The sequence below is a fragment of the Homo sapiens genome, chromosome 19 (assembly GCF_000001405.40).
Source record: "Homo sapiens chromosome 19, GRCh38.p14 Primary Assembly".
NCBI lineage: Eukaryota > Metazoa > Chordata > Mammalia > Primates > Hominidae > Homo > Homo sapiens.
The window spans coordinates 52,968,251-52,994,320 of NC_000019.10; the positions used below are offsets into that span (position 1 = coordinate 52,968,251).

Consider the following 26,070-nt stretch of genomic DNA (forward strand, 5'->3'; position numbering starts at 1 on the left):
TCAGAAAAAGTAAAATTATATTTTTTGTAGATGACATGATCTTCTGTGTAGAAAATCACAAAGAGTCAACCAAAATACTACTGTGACTAATAAACACATCAGTAGATTTGCACAATACAATATCAGCACCAAAAATTCGTTGAATTTTCATACATTAACAATAAACAATTTTAAATGAAAATTTAAAAACACTTCCATTTGCTAGAGAACTTAAAGTAAGAAATAGGAATAAATGGAAAGAAGTGAGAAATTCATACATTGAAATCTACAAACATTGATCAAAATGATTAAAAACATATATAAAGATATAACCCATATTGATGTTTTGGAAAAATTAATACTGTTAAATGATTACATAACCCAATGTGATTTTGATTCAACACAATACCCATAAAAATCTCTATCAGTTTTTGTTGAAGAAACAAAAAACAGACTGGGAAAGGTGCTCACCTCTGTTGGCCAGGCTGCTCTCAAACTCCTGATCTCAAGTGATCTACCTGTCTTGGCCTCCCAAAGTGCTGGGATTACAGGTGTGAGCCACCGCACCTGGCCTAATCCTCTTAACATAAACACTTTAATCTCAACAAATACTTGAACTCAATGTTAAGTCAACTCAAACTGAACTCAATGCTGATTTGAATCTAACATCAATTGTGCTTGATGGTTTGCTATACTCATTGCATTTGAAATTATTACCTCAAAAATGAATTTCCTGATGTCCTGCAAGGAGTGACCTCAGACTAAAGATCTTGCCACACATATGACTTTTGTAAGATCTCTGTCTAGTATGGATTCTCTGATGTGTAATGAGGCATGAACCTGAAATAAAGGCTTTGACACAATCATCACCCTTGTGAGGTTTCTTTCTTGTATGAATTCACCTGTGTTTTGCATAAGATGAAGCTTGACTGAAGACCTTGCCACAATCATCACATTTGTAAGGTTTCTCTCCAGTATGAGTTCGCTGATAAACTGCAAGGTATGAACGAAGTCTGAAAAATTTGCCACATTTATAACACTTGTAAGTTCTCACTTCATTATGCATTCTCCAATAATTTGCAATGGTTGTAGCATTACTGAGGACTTTGTGACAATCATTACATTAGTAAAGTTTCCCTATGACATGGATTGCTTGATGGTGAATAAGTGTTGACTGACCACTGAAGGCTCTGTCACACTCATCACACTTGCACGGTTTCTCTCCAGTGTGAATTCTAGTATGTTGTGCCAGGTGTGAATCACACCCGAATGCCTTGTCACAAACCTTACATTTCTATGGTTTCTCTCCAGTATGAACTCTCCTATGTATTTCAAGGCGTGAATTGAAATTGAAAACTTTGTCACATTCTTCACATTTGTAAGGTTTTTCTCCGATATGAACTCTATGATGATGTTCAAGGTTTGATTTTCAATTAAAAACCTTGCCACATTCATTACACTTGTAAGGTTTCTCTCCAGTATGAAGTCTATGATGACATGCAAGGTTTGATTTGTGATTAAAAACCTTGCCACATTCATTACACTTGTAACATTTCTCTCCAGTATGAATGACCTTATGCATTACAAGAGATGAATTTTGAACAAAGGTCTTGCCACACTCATTACACTTGTAAGGTTTCTCTCCAGTGTGAATTACAATATGTTGTGCCAGGTGTGAATCACGTCTGAAAGCCTTGTCACAAACCTTACATTTGTACGGTTTCTCTCCAGTATGAATTCTCCTATGTCTTTCAAGGTGTGATTAGCGACTAAAAACTTTGTCACATTCTTCACATTTGTAAGGTTTCTCTCCAGTATGAAGTCTATGATGACTTGCAAGATATGCTTTTTGATTAAAAACCTTGCCACATTCATTACACTTGTGAGGTTTCTCTCCAGTATGAATTGCCTTGTGAATTACAAGGGATGACTTGTAACTGAAGGTCTTGCCACACTGATTACACTTGTAAGGTTTCTCACCAGTGTGACATCTATGATGGTATGCAAGGTATCGCTTCTGATTAAAGACCTTGCCACATATATCACATTTATATTTTTTCTCTCCTAAATGGATTATCTGACATTTTTTTAACAGTGAGCTACAATTAAAGGCTTTGCCACTCTCATTACATTGGAAAGATTTTTCTCTCATGTGTGCTTCCTGGAGGAAATTATTCCCATACTTATTAGAAATATGGGTTTTAGGAATACAAGAAATTCTTTGGGATGCTGAAACTGAGGAAGCATCATTGACAGACTTCTCATCTTGACTATCAATTTTCCCTTTGCTCTGCAATATATGCAGTTCAGGCAGATGTGAATGAAAGCTTGATCCAAGCTGATCTTTAATAGGTTTGTTTCCAGCATGCCTTTGATCATATCAGTCTGTATTACCTGTCAACTTTTTTATCTCTGTCATGAGTGCTTCATGGCCATTTCTTTCATCTTCTTGCCACTGAAACTCAAAGTCCTGAAAATCTTTCTCAATTTCCTGGAAGGAAAAATCTCCAGTGTGATGACTTGCTTGTCTTTGCAATGTCCCTGTGTGGAACACTTCTGTATTGCCTTGCCTTCTTGATGAGAACTTCCTTGTCATGCATTTGGAAGAGATAGCTACAAAATATAAACAACAATAGGTTTCCAATTAAGTGCAGATGGTAAATAATACTGAAATATGTAACTAGGACACAAAAAACAATATTTATTTTGAAATTCCCAAACATGATTTTCAAAGTTTAAGAACACAAAAGGAGTAAGGTTCTTTAATAAATAAAGGGCGATTACAAGTCCTTTAAATCATTTCTACAGAAGCCTATTCCCAATATCATGACGAAACACTGACAGGGCACAAACATGTGTAAGCCTAAAGTAAGGAGTGTTTTTCCACTGTGACCCTAAAATGTATCACAGTTTGCAAAAAGCATATTACTGTCACATCAAAGAAGGAAAAAATATATATTCTTCATATTTATAGCATAGAGTATACAAATAAATGCTAAAGGACCGGATAACGTACTATATTGGTAAATAATCCACAACAAGCTCTTGTAAGGATAATCAAAATCAATGGAAATTCTGTATTGTCAAACAATCACAGCACTGAGAAGATAAGAAAAGAATACAAAAATTAGCCAGGCATGGCGGCCCATGCCTGTAATCCCACTACATGAGAGGCTGAGACACAAGAATCACCAAGAGGCAAAGGCTGCAGTGAGTCAATATCGCACCACTGCACTCCAGCCTGGATGACAAAGTGAGACTCCATCTCAAAAAAAAAAAAAAAAGCAGGGCATGGTGGCTCACACCTGTAACTCCAGTACTTGTTTGGGAGGCAGAGGCAGGTGGATTACCTCAATACAAAAAGTAGCCGGTAGCCAGGCATGGTGGTGGGCACCTGTAATCCCAGATACCTGAGAGGCTGAGGCAGAAGAATTGCTTGAATCCGAGAGGCAAAGATTGTGGTAAGCTGAAATCGTGCCACTGCACTCCACCCTGGGCGACAGAGTGATACTCCATCCCCCAAAAAAGAAAATGTGAATACCATATTTTTCTGAATAACTGTGAAAAATTTCCTATATCCATGTGGAACAGGCACTTTGTGACTTTTTAAAAAAATGTTTATTATTTTTATATTTTTGAGATGGAGTCTTGCTCTGTCACCCAGGCTGGAGTGCAATGGCACGATCTTGGCTCACTGCAACCTTTACCTCCTGGGTTCCAGTGAGTGTCTTGCCTCAGCCTCCTGAATACCTTGGATTACAGGCAAGCACCAGCATGCCCGGCTAATTTTTGTATTTTTAGTAGAGATGGGATTTCACCATGTTGGCCATTTGGGATTACGGGCATAAGCCACTGCACCCAGTGGCACTTTGTGACATTAATGAGTGCAGTGTGTCAGTTATATTGCATGCCACATACTGAATACTCACATGTAAAGTCATAAAATTCAATTAACAAAATATTGTAACCAACGATAAAACAAGAAAATAATATGTACATTTATACAGCCTGCAGAATTGTAAACAATTTCCACTTAAGAAAAAAGCCAAAACTTCTACTTACCACCAGCACACAATATAAGAACTGAATTACATGTTAAGATCACTACCTTCTGATATATGAGGTCAAGAAAATACACAGCATTGCCAGGCGCAGTGGCTCATGCCTGTAATCCCAGCACTTTGGGAGGCCGATGCGGGCAGATCACGAGGTCAGGAGATCGAGACCTGGTTAACACGGTGAAACCCCGTCTCTACTAAAAATACAAAACGTTAGCCGGGCGTGGTGGCACATGCCTGTAGTCCCAGCTACTCAGGAGGCTGAGGCAAGAGAATGGCGTGGACCCGGGAGGTGGAGCTTGCAGTGAGCAGAGATCGCGCCACTGCACTCCAGCCTGGGTGACAGAGTGAGACTGTCTCTCACAAAAAAAAAAAAAGAAAAAAAAAAGTACACAGCATTTAAACGAATAAGAATTGACTAATTGCCAGGCGTGGTGGTGCATGCCTGTAATCCCAGCACTTTGGGAGGCTGAGGCAGGCAGATCACGAGGTCAGGAGTTCGAGACCAGCCTGGCCAACGTGCTGAAACCCCATCTCTACTAAAAATACAAAAAAATTAGCTGGGCATGGCGGAAGGTGCCTGTAATCCCAGCTACTTGGGAGGCTGAGGCAGGAATCGTTTGAATCCAGGAGGTGGAGGTGTCAGTGAGCTGAGATCATGCCACTGCACTCCAGCCTGGGCAACAGGATGAGACTCAAACTACTCAACTACTTCTCAAATAAGCTTTGGTAGATGTGGTATTCTCTAACAGGATGTTCCTGCAGATGCAGACTTGGAGAGAATTTAGTCATGGGTGTTGACTACCTGTGAATACTAAAAGTGCATTTATAAAGAGACATTAAAGAGCTCATTGCCTGTTCCTCTTTCCCCCATGTCAGGACATGGCAGGAAGATGGCTGGGCTAAACCATGAAGAATGCTCTCAGCAGGAACCAATTTGGCTGGCACCTTGCTCTTGGATTTCCCACTTTCCAAATTCATGAGAAATAAATTTCTGTGTCTGAAGCCTCCCAGTTTAAGCTATTTCTTTTTTTGTTTGTTTTTGAGACAGTCATGCTCTATCAGCCAGGCTGCAATGTAGTGGCACAATGATTCTCCTGCCTCAAGAGATTCTCCCGCCTCAGCCTGGAGTATCACTCTGACGCCCAAGCTGGAGTGCAGTGGCACAGTCTCAGCCCACTGCAACCTCTGCCTCCGGGGTTCAAGTGATTCTCCTATCTCAGCCTCCTGAGTACTTGGGATAACAGGCACTTGCCACTGTGCCCAGCTATCTGTTGTATTTTTAGTAGAGATGGCATTTCACTATGTTGGCCAGGCTGGTCTCAAACTCCTGACCTCAAGCGATCCACCCACCTTGGCCTCCCAAAGTGCTGGGGTTAGAAGCATTAGACACCAGGGCCGACCAGTCTAAGCTATTTTTGACAGGACAGTGAAATGCCTGAGACAGGAAAAGGAGCATCTCATCATCAGCCTCACAGAAGACTTACAAATCTTATTAAACAAAGGAAGTTAACAGTCTGTACTGTAAAACTTGCAATACTTGAAGCCATCTAATACCACTAACAAGTTTTCAAAACCTTAAGGCAAGCAGGGCATGGTGGCTCGCGCCTGTAATCCCAGCACTTTGGGAGGCTGAGGTGGGAGGATCACGAGGTCAGGAAATTGAGACCATCCTGCCTAACACGGTGAAACCATGTCTTTACTAAAAAAATACAAAAAATTAGCCGGGTGTGGTGACACGCACCTGTAGTCCCAGCTACTTGGGAGGCTGAGGCAGGAGAATCCCTTAAAATCAGGAGGTGGAGGTTGCAGTGAGCCAAGATCGCATCACTACGCTCCAGGCTGGGCGACAGACCGAGACTCCATCTTGAAATAAAAAAAAGAAAGAAAGAAAGAAAGAAAAAGAAATGAAAGAAGGCTAAAGAGTAACTCCAACCCACAAATATATATAAAGTTCTCCAGTGAAGGTAAATAAAAGGACAGATAGGCCAAGTGCAGTGGTGCAGCTTATAGCTTGCAGTGAACGCCAAGAATGAAGTACTCAGATAATTCCAGCTGAGTGGGGCGGGGAGCAAACCTTCTGAGAGAGTGCTGCCCCAGAATCCGTCCTCCAAGTATTTATTGAAAGGGCTTGTTTAGACCGGTCGCGGTGGCTCACGCCTGTAATCCCAGCACTTTGGGAGGCCGAGGCGGGCGGATCACGAGGTCAGGAGATCGAGACCATCCTGGATAACACAGTGAGACCCCGTCTCTACTAAAAATACAAAAAAATTAGCCGGGCGTGGTGGCGGGCGCCTGAAGTCACAGCTACTCAGGAGGCTGAGGCAGGAGAATGGTGTGAACCCGGGAGGCAGAGCTTGCAGTGAGCCGAGATCGCACCACTGCACTCCAGCCTGGGCGACAGAGCGAGACTCCGTCTCAAAAAAAAAAAAAAAAAAAAAAGGGCTTGTTTAAACTACACTTCAGACAAACAAAAAACATACACCATGGAGCTCTTTGCAGTCGGGTCGTGAGGCACTATGGCCTTGTAAAAGCACTCAGACCACATTCACAGGAGACTGTTTCAGCGTTTCTTATCACACATTCTACTCCTTGTCCTGATTTCAGGGTCAAGGAGTGACAGTCTCATACACAAACAACATACACACAGTGCCTCAGTAATTTTCCATTCCTCAATCTCAAATGCCTTGTACATAAGCTTATGTTGCCGCGCATCCATCAAAGTTGGTTCACACCCGTAATCTCAGCACTTTGGCAGGCCAAGGCAGGTGGATCACCTGAGTTTGGGAGTTCGAGACCAGCTTGACCAACAAGGAGAAACCTTGTTTCTACTAAAAATACAAAATTAGCCGGGCATGATGGTGCATGCCTGTAATCCCAGCTACTCGGGGGGCTGTGGCAAAAGAATCACTTGAAACTGGGAGGCGGAGGTTGCAGTGAGCTGAGATTGTGTCATTGCACTTCAGCCTGGGCGACAGGAGCAAAACTTTGTCTCAGAAATAAATAAATAAATAAATAAATAAATAAGTAAGTAAATAGACAGATACAGAAACCTGTATAAGTGTATCTTTTCTTTATAACTCAACTTTTTTTTCCAATTATTTAGCAGAAAAAAGCACAAAAAAAACACTGTACATATATGTTAATGAAAATGCAACATATACAGAAATAATTCTGACATAAATAACAAAGAGTTCTAGTGGAGAAAGTAGTCTTTGCAGGTTATGGAAATTTTTGTTTGTTTCTTTCTTTGTTTTTTTGAGACGGAGTCTTGCTCTGTCGCCCAGGCTGGAGTGTAATGGTGCCGTTTCGGCTCCTGCAATCTTTGCCTCTTGAATTCAAAGATTTCAGCCTCTTGAGTAGCTGGGATTACAGGTGCCCACTGCACTTCGAATTTTCAGTAGAGACAGAGTTTTGCCATGTTAGCCAGGCTGGTGTTGAACTCCTGACTTCAGGTGATTTGCCCACCTTGGCCTCCCAATGTGCTGAGATTACAGGGGTGAGCCACTGCACCTGGCCAGGTAATGGAAATTTCAAGTTTTGTTATTATGCTATAACTTCAAGATGTTTAACACACCTTCAACAATAACCTCCCCCTAAATATCTATACAACACACTTCGGTTCTTCATATTGAAAGGAATGGACACTAACGTGGTTGTTATGTTCACATTGGAATCATGCTTAAGCCACTTATATGTTTACTAAAAACTAAAAGACAAAACTATTTAAAATAATAATAATGGCTGGGCACGGTGGCTCACGCCTGTAATGCCAGTACTTTGGGAAACCGAGACAGGTGGATCACTTGAGATCAGGAGTTCGAGAACATCCTGGCTAATGTGATGAAACCCCGTCTCTACTAAAAACACAAAAATTAGCTGGGCGTGGTGGTGAGCGCCTGTAGTCACAGCTACTCAGAAGCTGGGACACAAGAATCGTTTGAGCCCGGGAGGTGGAGGCTACGGTTAGAAAGATCGCACCACTGCACTGTAGCCCGAGTGACAGAGTGAGACTTCACCACAAAAAAAAGTAAATAAGAAGAGAGTCAAAGCATGTCTACAGAAAAAAAGTAATTAAACACAAAAAGTAGGAAATGAGAAATGAAGAACAACAATAAAAACCTACAAGAAATACAGATAATATGTAACAAAAACGCAACGGTAAGGTCTTCTCCATCAGTAATTATTAAAATGTAAATATTTAACTCTGCATTCAGGAGGCAAAGACTGGCTGAATCAACAGGAACCAACTACATGTTGTCCACAGAAGACTCATATTAGCCCTAAGGACACACATACGCTAAAATTTAAAAAATAAAAACCAATAATTAGGTATGGGGGTTGGGGCCTATAATCCCAGCTACTCAGGAGGCCAAAGAGGACCTCTTGAGCCCAGGAGATCAAGACCAACTTCAACAACACAGCATAAAACTGAAAAATAACCTGGAGAAAGCAGGGAAGGATAGTCTGCTGGTTTACCATTTTGATCCCTGGTACAGACAGCTCCTCTATTTGTGCCCCCTGGCTTATAGCACAGGCTCCATAGCTACTGAGTCAGTGAATGAATGAGAATGACTGAGTGATACTAGTATGTCTTCTCTGGGGTCTCATGTGTGCCAGGGTCCTATTTGACCTTGGAATGGTCTTCATCGTGATGAGGGAGCTGAGCAGGAGCAGCTGAGCGGGACAGCCCAGAGTCCCTCATGCAGACCACTCTGCTTGCCCAACCGGTAAGAAGGACAAGTGTATGTTCACTCAGAAACACATCTGGCTGATCCAACGGGTCACTGCCTGACCCTGAGCAAACTTACATTGGCAATTAAAGACCCTAAACTCCGCAGAAAGAGGAGAGGCTTCCTTGCTGCCCGGACTCTCAATGAAGAAAAATTCCTGGGGTCTAAGACTTCTGACTTGGCAATGACATTGGCTTAAATATTCCCAGACTCAAATCCTTGGGTCTTAGTTGGGTCTTGGGATGGTGCAAACCGATAGAATTGCAGGCAATGAGTGTCAGAACAGAACAGCGGACAGGAAGGTGGAAGACTTGAGGGAGGGGATCAAGGACAGGCAAAGAAACCACTCCCCTCCCTCAGACGCCCACCTGGGGAAGCATCAACTTTGTCATTCTAGAGAAGACAACGGGAAAGGAAGGACTGTGCATAGGGTAGGTGACGGTGTGTGCTGGGTGGAGAGAAAAACCCCTTTTTCTAAATGTGACTCCAATAGCTCAGCCCATTTATTCTACTAACTGCTGAGCACAGAGGCATCCTGTGAGGATAAATACGGCTTTTCCTTCCTCCAATTCCTGAATCTCCAGGCCATGACTAGTGCTGTAACCCTCAAAATCCCTTCCCAGGACCCAGCGTTCCCTCTGTGGGAAAAATATCTGTGCTCCACATTTAGATTATAGCTTATTTATTTATTAACTTATTTATTTATGTTGAGATGGAGTCTCACTAAGTTGCCAGGCTGGAATACAGTGGCACGATCTCAGCTCACTGCAACCTCTGCCTCCTAAGTTCAAGCGATTCTCCTGCCTCAGCCTCTTGAGTAGCTGCGGCTACAGGCGTGTGCTACCAAGCCCAGCTAGTTTTTGCATTTTTTCAATACAGACAGGGTTTCACCATGTTGGTCAGAATGGTCTTGATCTCTTGACCTTGTGATCTGCCCGCCTTGGCCTCCCAAAGTGCTGGGAATACAGGCATAAACTACCATTCCCGGCCATCATTTTTCATCTTTTATTTTTATTTTTATTTTTATTTGAGACAGAGTCTTGCACTGTTGCCCCGGATGGGGTGCAATGATGCTTCCATCCAGAAGACAGAAGAAGAAACCTCTGTCTTCTGGGTTCATGTGATTCTCCTGCCTCAGCCTCCTGAGTAGCTGGGATTACAGGTGCATACCACCACACTCAGCTAATTTTTTTTTTTTTTGTATTTTTAGTAGAGACAGGGTTTCACTATGTTGACCAGGCTGGTGTCAAAGTCTTGACTTCATCATCCACCTGCCTTAGCCTCCCAAAGTGCTGGGATTACAGGCGTGAGCCACCACACCCAGCCCCACATTTACATTATAACATTTTGATCCTCGGCTCCCCAGCTGCCTTCTGACTGTGTGTGTGGGTGTGTGTGTGTGACTGTGTGTGTGTGTGAGTGTGTGACTATGTGTGTGAGTGTGTGACTGTGTGTGTGTGTGCACGTGCGCACACACTCATGTGTTGTGACAGGCAAGGAAAAGCCAGTAGAGAGTCATCGCCATTGGCCTGGCAGGAGGAGGTGGCCCTCAGGCTGCAGTTCACGGTGCTGTTTGCACTCTGATCCTTGGAAGAATCTTTCCTGAAGTCACGGAGCCTCCAGCTGCTCCAGAACAGAACTAGTTGTGTAGGAGTGTGTCCTTCATGCCCCTCAGGTCCCTGACCTTCTCCCCACCCTTCCTGAAGGGAATCCAGGACCCTCACTCTGAGTGCATCACCTGCTGGTGGCAAAGCCCCTGCCCATCATGGCCAAACTGGGCCCTGGTGATGTGCAGAGCGTGGAGACCCGGGAGCTGGAGTGAGGCAGTTGACACAGATGACAAAAATGCAGATGCCTCGGCACTGCCTGAGGACACAGGGTCTGGTCTGTAGGGCTTTTCTGGCTTTAGTGAGGTCTTCTCCTTTTAATTTGACTGAAATAAATAGTTACAGAAAGTTCAGATCAATTAGAGTTGAAATTTCCAGAAGAAATATGGGACCATCCTCACACTTGCCCCAGCCCCTCAGTCTTCCCTGAGGACACCTCAGCATCTAAATCACAACTCCAGAGTAGGTGCTGCAGTTGTCCTGTGGCCAAGATGAGAACTGTGCATCCTCCAAAGGGGAGACACAAAACACTCAAAATAATCCATGCAGAAGGGCGTTTCTGCCTGGGCATGGTGGCCCATGCCTGTAATCTTAGCACATTGGGAGGCCAAGGCAGGCAGATGACCTGAGGTCACAAGCATGAGACCAGCCTGGCCAACATGGTGAAACCCTGTCTGTACTAAAAATACAGAAATTGGGTCGGGTGCGGTGGCTCATGTCTGTAATCCTAGGACTCTAGCACTCTAGCGGTCTGGAAGGCCAAGGCGAGCAGATCACTTGAGGTCAGGAGTTCCAGACCACCCTAGCCAACATGGTTAAATCCCATCTCTACTAAAAATACAAAAAGTAGCCAGGCTTGGTGGCTGTCTGTAATCCCAGCTACTCGGGAGGCTGATGCAGGAGAATCGCTTGAACCCAGGAGGTGGAGGTTGCAGTGAACTGAGATCGTGCCACTGCACTCCAGCCTGGATGACAGAGTGAGACTCAAAAATATGCCAGGAACTGACATGACCCACTTTAGATTTCGCTGTGATGTCCTCATACAGAGAAAGGCCTCGAAGATGGTCTCTGTGTCTAACTGAATCTACACCTCTGTTTCTTTCATTCTGCCTTTTTTTGTTTTATTTTTGGGGTACTGCACCTATTTAAAATTCTAGTTACAACTGAACACTCCTTTCTCACAGAAGAAAAGCCACGCCCAGACACGCACTCTATTTTGCCAATCATTTCAGGGGCCAGGGTCACTCGGGTTGAGCTTTTCTGGTGTAGCCCCTCATCTCCAAGTTACAGGGAGGCTCACTGGGGCCACAACTGATAAGTCACTGTCCTCTGGCTGAAGAGGGGTTGCAGAGGGAAGCTGCCTCTGACGCCATCATTATAAAAGTCACCACACTTAGACACAGGAGTTTGGCAACTCTCATTCTCATCTGTATAATTTAAACAAATTTTAAATTTGTTACCTTATAAACAGAGAAAACAACATGTCATCACTTCATCGTCACATCCAATCAACTCACCGCTCATCTGCACCCAGGGTCCCCCTTCGTCTTCATTACTGCTTCCCTCCATCATTCTGTACATAGCTCTCATTCTCACCTTCTCTGAAATTGGGATTAGCCAGGTGTGGTAGCACCTGCCTGTCATCCTGGCTCCTTAGGAGGCTAATGTGGGTATCACTTGAGCCCACAAACTTGAGGCTGCTGTAAGCCAGAATTGTTCCATTGCACTCCAGACTGGGCCCAGGAGTGACACCCTGTCTCTTAAAAGAAAACTTTCAAGTCAGAGACATATTGAGTCACTAGTGTAGCTTCAAATGCATTACAAAATCAGACACAAAATATCTCCCCTAATTTGTCTCCATTTCCAGAATTTACCTGATGCCAGTGCACATTAATGTATGACTTTCATATACAGTTTCTCTGATCTGGTCCACAAAGAGCTAAACGTCCATCCAGATGTGGCCCCTGAACAATCCTTGCTGCCCAGCATCACTGACACCACGGAGCCCACACCCCATCTCCATCCATGTCTGGTGTGAGCCCTTCCAGGACCATGCCCAGTGCAGCCTCTTCCTAAGCTCATGTCACTAGGTTATAAGAGATGGAATTTAAGTGAAGATGACAGGGACTGAGAAAAGGCATAAGTGAATGCAAGCAAATGTGTGAGGCAGGATGCTTCAGACTCACAGGAGACTGACTACTACAATACCTGGCATTTCAGAAAGGAAAGAGACAGATTAATCCACCGAGAAATATCCACTTCACCTGAGGAAGAGCCACCCTGGCTCCTTTTCTTTGCTCTTCTTGGTGTCTTCCTCATGTAACAGGAGTTTTTGGAAATCAATCCTGTTTGTGAAAAAAAAAAAATAAGAGATTTAATGTTTAGAAACCACTCACTCCTTTCCTGTGACAAAACACACACACAGGGGAGACCTCACCCAGTAGGAAGATGGTCCTCTGCTGCCCACCACACCAGAGATCATGCCAAGATAACAAAGCCCCACAGGAAGACCTACAAGTGTAATTTTGACCCGTTTTCAGATCTTGCTCCCCTCCTGGAAAAGTCCACACACACACTGCAGCAGGACACAGACCTTCAGGGCACAGATCTGGCCCTAACCAAACCCCATGCAGAGCACAGCCCCCTCAGCTCCCTGTGGATCACAGGCTGATCTCAGCTCTCAACATGGAGGAAACTGCCTTGATTTTCAATGCTGGACACAGATGAGAATCACCTGCACCATTGTAAGAATTATTGAGGGTGGGTTTAATCCTATGATAATAGCAATCTCTGATAAAACAGCTTAAAAGATGTATTTGCAAAATGCCTGAGAACCCTAATGTGAAGCCAGGGTTGAGCTCCACTCAGACAGCGCCAGCCCAGCACAGCCCCACCTTCTGGCTCTGCTCTCCACTTCGGGACTTGTTCCCACCAGGATCCAGTGAAAAGCGAAGGAGCAAAAAGAATCACAAAGAACAGGCAACATGGACCAGAGGTGGGGGTGAAGGTGGAGCTGCCATGTCAAATGGGGGACTGTGGGTGATCACAAACGTTTCCATAGAGAAAGCAATGTCAGAACAAAGACTTAGGGATGAAACACTGCTTGTCACTTGTAGCTGAGGGGCCAGAGAGTCCTGGGCAGAGTGACATCTCAGGTGAAGGCACTGAGACAAAAGCAACCTCAGTCCCAGAAAAAGGAAAGAGGTGTGCGTGGCTGGAGCAGAGGGAGTGAGGAGGACACAGGCAGGAGATGACCTCAGAGAGGTCCTGGAAGTGAAGATCCCTAGGGACGAGGTCTTGAAACATTTTTCTCCCACACCTCAAAAGAATTTTGGAAATGATGTATTTCCTCACTCCTTTCATGTATACATGCAACTTTCTCTTTACATTGTAAGTTACAACACTCACAAATAGTGGAATTTATTTCCCATATTTAAAATACATGCTGTCAGTTTCAGCTAAGCTCCCAGAAGTACACTGTCGCCCTCATCTGAGAGGTGTAGGACTGCAAGGGAATGTGTTTGGGGGTTCAAGAAGTCACTTATGACTTCTTGACACATGAAGGTGGAGATGCCTGTTTGATGTCCCAGCAGAGAGCTGAAGAGACAACTGGACACAGAATTGTGGAGCTCAGGGGCGAGGCCTGCAGGGGACGTGGAGTCATACAGGTGGGCTAAAGCGGTGAGATGATAAGGTTCAAGGTGATTTGATTCTAATCTCATTTTTTCCTTCTTGTGCTTTTGTTTTTTACATTTTTGGAGGACTGAAATCCATTTAAAATTCAAATTACAGCTAAGCACCTCCCTGTCCTAAAGGAAAAGCCACACACTCCATTGTGCCCATCATTTCAGGGGTCAGTGTCACTCTGAGCTTTTCTGGTCTTCTCCCTCACCTGTATATTACAGGTGGGCTCAGTGAGGTTCACAGCGGGGGACGTTTCACCAAGTTATCCTGAGAAGCTCTGAGTTTTGTAAGAAGGAGGAGTCGCTGATTTTCATGTGATGGCCAGGAAGGGTCAACAGGCTGCGTTGGTCATCTTCCTCTATAAAATTCCAGGACTGGCCACATGTGGTGGCTCACTCCTGTAATTCCAGCACTTTGGAAGGCTGAAGCAAGTGGGTCAGTTGAGCCCAGGAGTTTGAGACAAACCTGGCAACATGGTGAAACTCCATCTCTAACGAAAGTACAGAAAATTAGCCAGACATGGTGGTGTGCATCTGTGGTCCCAGCTATTTGGCAGGCTGACTGGGGGGGATCACTTGGGCCTCAGAGGCAGAGGTTGCTGTGAGCCAAGATCGTGCCACTGTACTTAAGCATGGGTGACAGAGTAACACTCCATTTCAAAAAAAGGAAAAATATTCCAGGACCATCTTTTATATCCCCAAGCAAAAGAAATGTCTCTTTCAATGTCCAAAATTCTGATGGCACGAATCCTAAACATGTAAATATTTTCCCAGAAAAATGACAGTAATACATTCAAAATAAAAACAATTGTGAACACATAGCTATAGGTTTTTAAAACACTGAAAGAGAGGCAGTGGTAGAAATAAGCTGTGAGCAAATGTTTTCTTCATGAACACGTGGGCTCTGCTGAAACAAGGTTCCAAGTCAATCCAGCCCATCCTTCAACATCTGCAAAGAATATTATGGACCAGAGGAACTTGAGGAGAATGTTTACTTAGAAGGTCACAGTTCACCATTTTATCAGATGACATAAGGAAAGAAAGTAGAGTAACAGGCTACTTGAACTAAATTTTTATGTTAGCATAAAGAAAATAGGTCCTAGGGTCAGGCGTGGTGGCTCATACCTGAAATCCCAGCACTTTGGGAGGCCAGGGCAGGTGGATCACCTAAGGTCAGGAATTCGAGACCAGCCTGACCAACATGGAGAAACCCTGTCTCTACTAAAATTACAAAATTAGCTGGGTGTGGTGGTGCATGCCTGTAATCCCAACTATTTGGGAGGCTGAGGCAGGAGAACCACTTGTACCCTGGAGGCGGAAGTTGCGGTGAGCTGAGATCATGCCATTGCACTCCAGCCTGGGCAACAAGAGTGAAACTCCATCTCAAAAAAAAAAAAAAAAGAAAGAAAGAAAATAGATTCTTGACATCTTTATCAAATATGCATTGAAACAACCTAAAATCATTTATCAGGTACTAGAAAGTGTTTCCAATATGTGGTACAGACTAGAAAGCATGCAGTCTTCAATGTAAACTGGACACAATAAATTTCATAGAGAAACTATATTAAAATGGTTAAAAATATATACATCTAATGAAATGTGGGGTCAAAGGAGAAAATTTTGAACACATAGATAAAAACAATGATGTGAGGTTGGGTGTGGTGGCTCACGCCTGTAATCCCAGCACTTTGGGAGGCCAAGGTTGGCAGATCACAAGATCAGGAGTTTGAGACCAGCCTGGCCAATATGGTGAAACCCTGTCTCTACTAAAAATACAAAAATTAGCCTGGCATGGTGGCGGGGGCCTGTAGTCCCAGCTACTCGGGAGGCTAAGGCAGGAGAATCACTTGAACCTGAGAGGTGGAGGTTGCAGTGAGCCGAGATCGCGCCATTGCACTCCAGCCTGGGCAAAAGAATGAGACTCCATCTCAAAAAAAAAAATGATATGAGCTCATAAAATTCTACCAAAGCTTATTTGAGAAGTAGTTATTTATTTTATGTTTTTGAGATGGAGTCTTGCTCTGTCACCCAGGCTGGAGTGCAGTGACATGATCTCAGCTCACTGCAGCCTCTGCCTCCTGGGTTCAAGCGATTCTCCTGCCTCACCCTCCTGAGTAGCTGGGATTACAGGCACCAGCCACCACACCCAGCTAACCTGTATTTTAGTCCAGATGAGGTTTCACCATGTTGGCCAGGCTGGTCTCAAACTGTTGCTGTTACATTGGGACTGAATGGAGGAGGACGAACACGGGAATGGAGTATGGAGTCAAAGACAAAAGTATCTGTTTGCAAGAAGGGATCGGGGGCTCTTTGCTTCTAGAGAACAAGAGCCCTGAGCTTCTACAGCCCTTCATATTTATTGGGTAGAGTAAACAGAGAGGAAGGGGTAACTGTCAGTCAACTATTTAATTTAACACAGGTGTAAGTGATTGCCTTTTTTGTTCAACAGGCTCCAGATGTTTCTGTAGATAATTTCAAGGAACATGGCACCTGGGATGTGACTGCCCTCAGCATTCCTTCTGGTGGCAGATTCAGTTGTCACCTTGCCAACTGCTTTCACAAGAACAGTTTGCTGTTTGCTCATACAGCCTCCAATGGTATACTGAGTTGACAACCCTCATTCCTTCAGTGTCCAACATCTCCCCCTTTATGTTTTTGCATTAATTGAATAAAGGTAATTCCAGGCTGTGCAACTTTCAATTGCCAGTTGGTGGTCCACCCAGTCTTACAGACTATAAACAGAAAACAGAGACATAATAACATTGTTCCTATAAGTCTAAAAGAGACATTAAGGTGATGTTTAACGTAGGTCTAAGGATTGAGACTTTCTAAACCCTGCTGGAATTCTGTCCAAGTTTCTAAAGAAGGTTGAAACTCTTGAGTCTGCTTATTCAAGTCAAGAATTTTACTTTGTATTTCACTGATATCAAAAGCGACATTGGATGTAAAAGCCCCCTGAATATGGGCTTTTACAAGGTCCCATGGATATTCGATTTGGTTATATTCCAAATTGGCTACACAAATGTGAGTATGGTTAAAATGACAGTGCAATTGCTGTTGCCATTGTAAACTCTGTATTTGCTCCCCTAACCACAAAACAGTAGTCTTTAACATTGCCACCTAAGTTTGTAATTCAGTATTAATTTGATTTTGAAGCATCCATGCCTGGTCGGCTGTGCACATCCAATTTTCCATATATTGGGCTGTTTAAACAGAGCTGTGCAGTGCTACTGAGGACACCACAACAGAGGTTATTAGTGTGACTAAGGAAACAATAGCAAAAATTACCATACCCAAGACTCTAGGAGCATGATGAGTGAGCTGAGTGAGAAGGAGTTTCACAAAGTGTAAAGCCAGGGCAGCAGCCCAAGGTTCAGACAGATTGACAGGGACCCATATCCAAGAATGACATTTACCTTCTTAGAAAAACACAAACTGTAAATTGAGTGGTAATATTCCTTACAAAGGTAACATTAAAACTGTGTTAAGTAACATTATTAGTATTGGAGAGTGTCCCAACCCAGATGCTGCCGTTCGTAAATAGGAGTGCTGCTTTCCATATCGACTCCTGAATTGGGCCCCTCTTTCCTTGATGCTGCCACTGAGGCAAAGGCGAGCTAAAGCCTGCTCTGTGCCAAGCAAGCCGCACAGCCGACTGGGATTGAATCCCAGTGTGATGTAGTGAAGAGATGTTGAAGGTCTGCCACCAGTGCCAGCGAAGTTTGTGCCATGAGGTCTGATTCTCATCTCTTCCATCTAATTAACCACGGGGTCCCCAGTCACCAATGTCTCCCATTAGCATAGACTGTTGTCTAGCTAAAGGACCAAGACATTGGGTCCAAGGAGGGGGGTGGTGAGAACTATCAAAGGGAGCCCATTCTGTATAATCAATACAATTTTGGTGATGGGGGCGGGAGTGGTTGATGAGCACACTAGTTATATTAATAGAGCTAAGGCCTAATAAATACATAACTTTTCCATGGTGACTCAACCATGCCTGGGGTTGGACTGCAAGACAACTGTGGTTGAGTGACATATCTTTGGTGATGCATAAAGGGAGTCCCTCCAATGGGGCGGTATAACTGATGCTATTGTTGTGAGAGTTTAATTGCTCTATATCAGGGGGAGTTAGGGGCCCTAGAGCCCACGCTCCCTGATCATGATATACCTCAGGAGGAATGTCACTCCAGAGTACAGGTCACACTACAGGGTGATTAGGAACATATGCCCAGTATGTTTTGGCCTCTACACAGGGGAAACATACCTCACAGGACACTACTGCTAACATGGCCAAGCACATGGATGCTCCAGCATTTTCTCAGCTTCCTGCTTTGTTTTCTTGATCTGTCCCCATGTTATGGGGGTGGATGTCAGTGTGACTCCAGTCGGCCCTTGCTCCATCTTTGCATTCAAATTCAGCTGGCTCACGACTCCTACTGGAGGGACCAGGTCCACGGTTGGCCAACGTGGGTCCTGCTAGTCTCCCATTTCATGGTCGCACACACCTGGAGGGCACCCACATGGTTTGTCCATCTCCTGTAAAAACACAAGCATACTCTCGTCCCCACATCAGCAATTCCACCGGGCCTTTCCACTGTCCCTCATCTGGAGATTTCCATAACACCTTTGGGTAAACTTGCCTCTTTTCCTCTAACACTTGCCAATGTCGTTCTGCTAGTCTTACCGTCTGTACCAGGAGTCAAAAAGTTTAAAGTAAGCAAGGCTAATGTAATTTTGCCTGAGGTGGTAGTTGGTCTCCTATTCCCCCTTTTTGTTTTTTCAACATACGTTGTACCGTTTGATGTACCCACTCAGTAAGGCCTTGCCCTCGAGGATTGTAAGGAATTCCTGTTTTATGGGTGACTGCCCATAACTAAAAAATTTTGAAAGGCATCACTAGCATAAGCAAGTTCATTGTCAGTTTTCAATTGTTTAGGGACCCCCCTATATGGGCAAATGACAACAATGTCACCAGGCATGACCAGCTATTTCCCCTGTTTGGCATGTGGCATGCAGCATATGGGAGTAGGAGTCTATAGTCACATGGACATAGCTGAGTTTGCCAAAGGTGGCTATATTGGTAACATCCATCTGTCAGATTTCATCTGGAGCCAAACCTCGTGGGGTGCATCCTTCTACACGGGCAACACCAGGGACATACTGGCAAGTGGGGCAGGCTTGCACAATAGCTTAAGCTTGGCTGCAAGGCAGATGAAACATACGAGTAAGTGCAGAGTTGTTTTGATGCAGTAATGCATGAGAAGCTTGGGCTTGTTGAAATATAGAACCGATCAGTTTATCTGCTCTATCATTACCTAGAGATAGTAGTCCAGGGAGTTGTGTGTGAGAGTGAATATGAGAAATATGAAAAGGGGAAGCATGAGAGCAAATAGCTTATTGGAGTCTTAGAAACAAGTTAAGCAGTTCTTGTTCTAGGGTACTCTTAATAGTGGCAGTCTCAATGTGACTGGCTACATTCACAACATAGGCTGAATCACAGACAATATTAATAGGAGATAAATCTGGAAGCTCTAAAACCAGAATAACTGCGATTAATTCTGAACATTGAGCTGAAACTGCAGAGGTCTTTATTGTTTGAGTGTGTTTAGGTCCAGAAACAGCTGCGTGAAATTTGGAGGAACCATCAGTAACATAGGTCTGTCCACCTGAAATAGGCCTGTGATGAGTAATCACAGGAAGGATGAAAGGGTGAACTTTAGAAAATTGCGAGATTCTTTTTTTTTGATTGCTTTTGTCACCCAGGCTGGAGTGCAATGGCACGATCTTGGCTCACGGCAACCTCTGTCTCCCAGGTTCAAGCAATTCTCCTGCCTCAGCATCCCAAGTAGCTGGGATTAAAGGTGCCCGCCACCACACCAGGCTAATTTTTTAATTTTTAGTAGAGATGGGGTTTCACCATGTTTTTCAGGCTGGTCTCGAACTCCTGACCTCAGGCGATCTGCCTGCCTCAGCCTCCCAAAGTGCTGGGATTACAGGCGTGAGCCACTGAGCATGGCCTAAAATTGCAAGATTTTGTCTGATGGATAATGGTTACCTATTATTCCCACAAAATCTGCGAGAGTGATTTGCCAACCAGTCAACATCTCCCAAGCTGCAGCCTGCTGTCAGGAATCCAAAGGAACAATAATTTTATTAGGATCATATCCTGTAAGCATTCCTGATCTATGCCTGCCTATTGTCATAAGTTGTATAATTAAAGAAAGATAAACTTACAAAGTTTTCACTGTCTGATTGGATAAAAAGAGCCATTCTATTACCATTATGGATTTCTCTATGAATTGGCCTAAAAGTCCTGTTGGACAATGAGGGGTAGGAAGAATAAAAAAAGCAAAGGCTTTTGTGATTTCAGCCGAAAGGCCTGTCGTGTTGAAGCATCTGCTCTACAAGCTGTAACTCAGCTTCTGCCTCTTTAGTAAGTTGCCAAGGGGAATCTAATGAAGAATCTCCTTGGAGGGTTTGATAAAGGTGTATGAGTTGGTAAGTAGCAATACCTAGCATCGTGCACAGCCAATTAATATCCCCTAATAATTGTTGGAAACCGTTCAGAGTTTGTAACCTGTCCCTATGGACGGCTACTTTTTGAGGCTGAACATTTCTTTCAGTAAAAATAGTACCTAAGTACTGGTATGGGGCGGTTCTTTGTACCTTTTCAGGAGCTATTTTGAGATTCCATTCAGTTAAGGCCTGCTTTATTTCTCTGAATAACTGGTGTAATATTTGAACTGTAGGAGCGGCCAAAAGAATATCATCCATATAATGAACGATGTAGGCAGTGGGAAACATATTCTGAGAGTCCTTTAATGCTCTTCCTACAAAATGCTGACTTAACGTAGGTGTTGAGCATGCCCTGGGGTAAAACTTTCCATTGATAATGAGAGACAGGCTCTCTATGATTAATAGAGGGCACAGAGAAGGAAAATCGAGGCTTATCTTTCTCATGTAAGGGTATAGTATAAAAGCAGTCTTTAAGATCTATTACTACGAGAGGCCAATCTCTAGGAATGGCTGTTGGGAATGGTAGACCTTGCTGTAGTGCACCCATCGGTTCAATCTGTGCATTAATAGCTCTCAAATCATGAAGCAGTCACCATTTTCATGACTTTTTTGGGATCACAAATACTGGTGAATTCCAGGGGCTGACTCCTCTGTATGTCCTGAATCCAGTTGCTCTTTTACCAGCTGATGGAGTTGAGTCAGTTTCTTCTGTGATAGGGGGCATTGATTCACTGCCACACAGGTTTATCAGTCACAGGGAGGCTCACTGGGGCTCAGAGCGGGGACATTTTCACCAAGTTACCCTGAGAAGGTCTGAGATGAGTGAGAAGGTGTGTCTGAATTCTTACATGGAGGCCTGAAAGAGCTAATGGGAAGGGTTGGTCTTTATCACCCCTATCCTTGAAAATTAGAGAAGCATCTTTCATATACCTGGGCTAAAGAAACTTCTTTTGCAACGTTCTGATGCCACTGACTCCCAACATTTAATTCTTCCTTACAAGAAAATCACAGTAACATTTATAAACTGCAGAAGTGTGAACACACAGCTATTGACTGTGAAAACAGTGAAAGAAGTTCAGCCGTAGAGCTAAGACATAAGCAAATTTTTTCAATCAAGAATACATGGGTGGCCAGGCATGGTGGCTCAGGCCTGTAATCCCAGCACTTTCAGAGGTCAAGGTGGGTGGCTCACCTAGGGTCACGAGTTCAAGACCAACCTGGCCAACATGGTGAAACCGCATCTCTACTAAAAATACAAAAAATTACCTGGTAGTGGTGGTGGGCACCTGTAATCCCAGCTATTCAGGAGGCTGAGGCAGGACAATTGCTTGAACCCGGGAGACAGCAGTTGCAGTGAGCTGAGATCTCGCCATTGCACTCCAGCCTGAGCAACAAGAGTGAAAATACATCTCAAAAAAAAAAAAAAAAGAAGCTGGGCGCGGTGACTCACGCCTGTAATCCCAGCACTTTGGGAGGCCGAGGCGGGTGGATCACCTGAGTGGGTTCAAGACCAGCCTGGCCAACATGGTGAAACCCCATCTCTACTAAATATACAAAAATTAGCCGGGTATGGTGGCAGGCACCTGTAATCCCAGCTACTCAGGGGGCTAAGGCAGGAGAATCGCTTGAACCCGGGAGGCAAAGGTTGCAGTGAGCTGAGATCACGCCACTGCACTCCAGCCTGGGCAACAAGAGCGCAACTTCATCTGAAAATGAAAAAAGAGAGAAATGGAGAAGAACCAGAAAGAAAAAAGAGGAAATCTATTACACAATGAGAAAAAAAGCGCTTTTGATATTCCTTTTGTTTTTTATTTTTTGTTTGTTTGCTTTTTTGAGATGGAGACTCACTCTGCCACCCAGGCTGCAGTGCAGTGGCACAATTTTGGCTCACTGCAACCTCTACCTCCTAGGATCAAGTGATTCTCATGCCTCAGCCTCCCAAGTAACTGGAACTACAGATGCACGCCACCACGCCTGGCTAACTTTTGTATTTTTAGTAGAGACAGGGTTTCACCATGTTGACCAGGGTGCTTTTGAACTCCTGACTTTAGGTGATTCGCTCACTTCGGTCTCCCAAAGTGCTGGAATTACAGTCATGAGCCACCACGTCCGGCTTTGATGTCCCTTTTAAAAAGTATTATGGGCTGGGTGTGGTAGCTCACACCTGTAATGCCAGCACTTTGGAAGGCCAAGGCGGGTGGGTCAATTGAGGTCGGAAGTTCAAGACCAGCCTAACATAGAGAAACCCTGTCTCTGCTAAAAATACAAAATTAGCTGGGCATGGTGGTGCATGCCTTTAATCCCAGCTACTTGGGAGACTAAGGCAAAAGAATCGCTTGAACCGGGGAAGTAGATGTTGTGGTGAGCCGAGATTGCGCCATTGCACTCCAGGGTGGGAAACAAAAGCGAAACTCCGTCTGAAAAAAAAAAAAAGTACTATGTAGGAGAAGCGTGGTGGCTCATCCCTGTAATCCCAGTACTTTGGGAGTCCAAACAGGAGGATCATTTAAGCCCGGGATTTTGAGACCAGCCTGGGAAACACAGTAAAACCCCATTTCTACAAAAAACAAAAACAAAAAAACAAAAAAAAACAAAACTAGCCGGGCTTGGTGGCTCACGCCTGTGGTCCCAACTACTTGGTAGGCTGAGGTAGGAGGACAGCTTGAGCCCAGGAGGTCGAGGCTACAGTTAGAGATCACGCCACTGCACTCCAGCCTGGGTGATAGAGCCAGACACTGTTTCAAAATATTATTTAATTAATTAAATTAAAAGTCACATGTAATAACAGAAAGTGCTTTTGTCTCCCCACTTCACTGCCCCACTTCCTATGCCACCCTGGGAAAAGGGAAGAGAGTGACTCACAACTGAATAAGTCACTGCCCTCTGGCTGAATAGGGATTCCAAGTGGAAGCTGACCTCTGATGCCAAGATTTATAGAATGTACATGACTCATAGATAGGAATTTTAAAATTCTCAATCTCATCTGTATAATTTAAACAAGTTTTTAGTTATTAGATTATATACACAGAAGTCAACATGTCACACTAATCATATCCAATGAACTCACCCACTCATCTGAACCCAAAGTCCCCACCCCTTTTATTCTTTTGAGACAGGGTCTCACTCTGTTGACCAGGTTGGAGTGCAGTGGCATATCTCGGCTCACTGCAGCCTGGATCTCCTGGGCTCAAGTGATCCTCCTGCCTCAGCCTCCAGAGTAGTTGGGATTACAAGTGCGCACCATCCCCTTCTTTGGTCTATTTCTTCTCTTCCACCTCTTCTGCTCCATCCTCACAACTTACTTAACCTCTTGTTGCTTCTTCTTCCCAGTCTTTCGATCGTCCTCAATCTCCATACATTACCACCTCTTCTCCCACCTCTGCGCCTCCTCTGCTCTCCCTGTTAAACTCTCTCTTCCCTGTTAAACCCCCTGTCCCCACTCTCTGGCACCCCCGACCTCCAGGTGTCCTCCCTGCTGTGGTTCTCCCTCTTGCCACCAGCACCACTCTGCTCTGTCTGCCCTGGCTCCAAATCCCTCCTCCTCTCCCTCACTCTGATGAGCCAGGTCCCCCTCTTTGCTGCCCCTCTCCCTACCTTGCTGTCCTTCATCTCTCTGTACATCTAGCTTCTCTCCACATTTCTCCAGTTTTCTCCTCCTGCTATCTTAACTTTTTCTTTTCACTCTTGCTGTCTCTTGGCAAATCCCTCACCCATCCTCCACCTTGCCATCTGTTATGGGCCTTTCTCATTGTTCTATTCTCTGTCTCGAGTTTTCTACTGCCCTTGCTCGGTCTCCTGATTCCTTTGGCCCACACAATCACAGGAGAGTTTTGAGTAAGACGCCTGCATCCCAGAGGAGTGCATTTTCCAGGGGCTGGGGCTGGGCAGGCAAGAACACCCCTTGTCACAGGACAAGCCCTGGGCACCTCCCCAACGCGGACTCAGAGGAAGCGGCGACTGCTGAGGGGAGACCTGGCGAGCAGCAGGGCCCGGCACGAGGAGGGAGTTAGGGGGCGACGGCTCCTTAAGACAAGGGTGGGGTCTGCAGGATCCCAGGACCAGGCAGAGGATGCGGCCTCCTCGGGACGGGGGAGGCGGCGCTGCGCTCCAGGGACCGACGAGGGTGAGGGTGGGAGGCGCCCAGGGTGGGAATCCACCTCTCGGGTGAGGACTTTAAAAAGCACGGGGTGGAGGGAGTCAGAAAATAGTTACAAACAGGAAAACTACGAGATACGAAGTGTATACGTTGCCCTATAGCAGAAAGACCGGGGACGGGTCTAGCCTCAGGGCGACTTTAAACCCAAAAGGAAGCGACTTCTGGACTCTCACCGGGACGTCAAATTTTGCTCTGGGGATTAGCCGGGCCTGGTGGCGCATGCCTGTAATCCCAGCTACTCAGGAGGCTGAGGCAGGAGAATCGCTTGAACCCAGGAGGCGGAGGTTGCAGTGAGCCAAGACCGAGCCACTGCACTCCAGCCTGGCGACAGAGCGAGACTCCGTCTCAAAAAAAAAAAAAAAAAAAAAAAAAAATTTGCTCTGGGCGAAGGAAGAATGGTAGAAATTTCCAGGTATGTGGGGACCCCACGTCCCCTGGGACAGAAGTCCCAGGGACCTGCGGAGCGCAGACATAACACAACACAGAGCAAAACTCACCGCTGCGGTGACTTTCACTCCACGCGATCCGCTTCCCGGTTTACGCTAAACTGGGCGCTCGGGACAGAAGCCAGGTCTCGGCGGGACATGGCAGGGGGTGGGCGGGGCCTGGGCGAGGTGGGGGCGGGGCGCGAGGCGGAGAGACCTTCCCCTATAGAACCGGCAGGGGGCGGGGCGCGAGGCGGAGAGACCTTCCCCTATAGAACCGGCAGGGGGCGGGGCGCGAGGCGGAGAGACCTTCCCCTATAGAACCGGCAGAGGGCGGGGCGGGATCTGTGAGTCTCTCAGCCTCGGCGTGTTTTTGGGTTTTGGAGACGAGACCTGCCAGGAAAGCTGAGGCATGATTCAAAAGCCCTGGAACTGTCTGGAAGGGGAATGCAAACCAGAATGTGAAATGCAAAGCCCTGCCTGGGCGGAACGTATTATTTCATGCTGACGACCACAGAACAGAATAGAAATCCTCTCCCTTTCTATTCTCCACTCACTCAAGAGGGAGAGTCCACCCTGTGTCAGCTTCAGAGACTTCCCTAGAGCCACCGCCTGGGATGCGGGATGGAGTGCTCAGGCCAGGGAGGAGTGAGGTCACCACCTGCTGGTTAAACACAGCAGAGATGCGGGCGCACAAGGGGGCGTGGGAGGGCGCGGGGTGGGATCCTGAGTTCCCAGCTACTCAGGAAGCAGCGGCGGGAGGATCGCTGAGCCTGGGGCTCCAGGCCAGCCTGGGCGATAAAGTAACACCCCCTCCCGCAGGACTCCCTTCCTCGTCACTCTCTCTCTGTTTTTTGTTTTGTTTTGTTTTTAAACTTTCGTAAATAAAATTTTTTATGGTGTGAGACAGGGA

General features: G+C 45.2%; 1 long non-coding RNA gene and 1 pseudogene across 2 annotated transcripts, besides 1 other annotated feature; one reads left to right on the forward strand and one right to left on the reverse strand.

The window, feature by feature from the left end:
• ZNF702P (zinc finger protein 702, pseudogene) lies at positions 1 to 25,281 on the reverse strand (annotated as a pseudogene). Its single transcript, NR_003578.1, has 4 exons — positions 25,230 to 25,281; positions 18,325 to 18,596; positions 12,642 to 12,722; positions 1 to 2,592 (listed from the first exon to the last, which is right to left on the reverse strand). The product of NR_003578.1 is annotated as a zinc finger protein 702, pseudogene (transcript).
• Positions 13,959 to 16,753, forward strand: LOC105372453 (uncharacterized). Its single transcript, XR_936062.3, has 2 exons — positions 13,959 to 14,045; positions 16,510 to 16,753. It is a non-coding gene; the product is annotated as an uncharacterized LOC105372453 (long non-coding RNA).
• Positions 23,992 to 24,611: an enhancer, noted in NCBI's record as "H3K4me1 hESC enhancer chr19:53495495-53496114 (GRCh37/hg19 assembly coordinates)". NCBI's record gives its function as "activates a minimal SCP1, AML or CMV promoter by ChIP-STARR-seq in primed H9 embryonic stem cells {active_cell/tissue: H9 hESC(primed)}" and the evidence as "EXISTENCE:reporter gene assay evidence [ECO:0000049][PMID:30033119]".
• Positions 25,282 to 26,070: the final 789 nt, after the last annotated feature.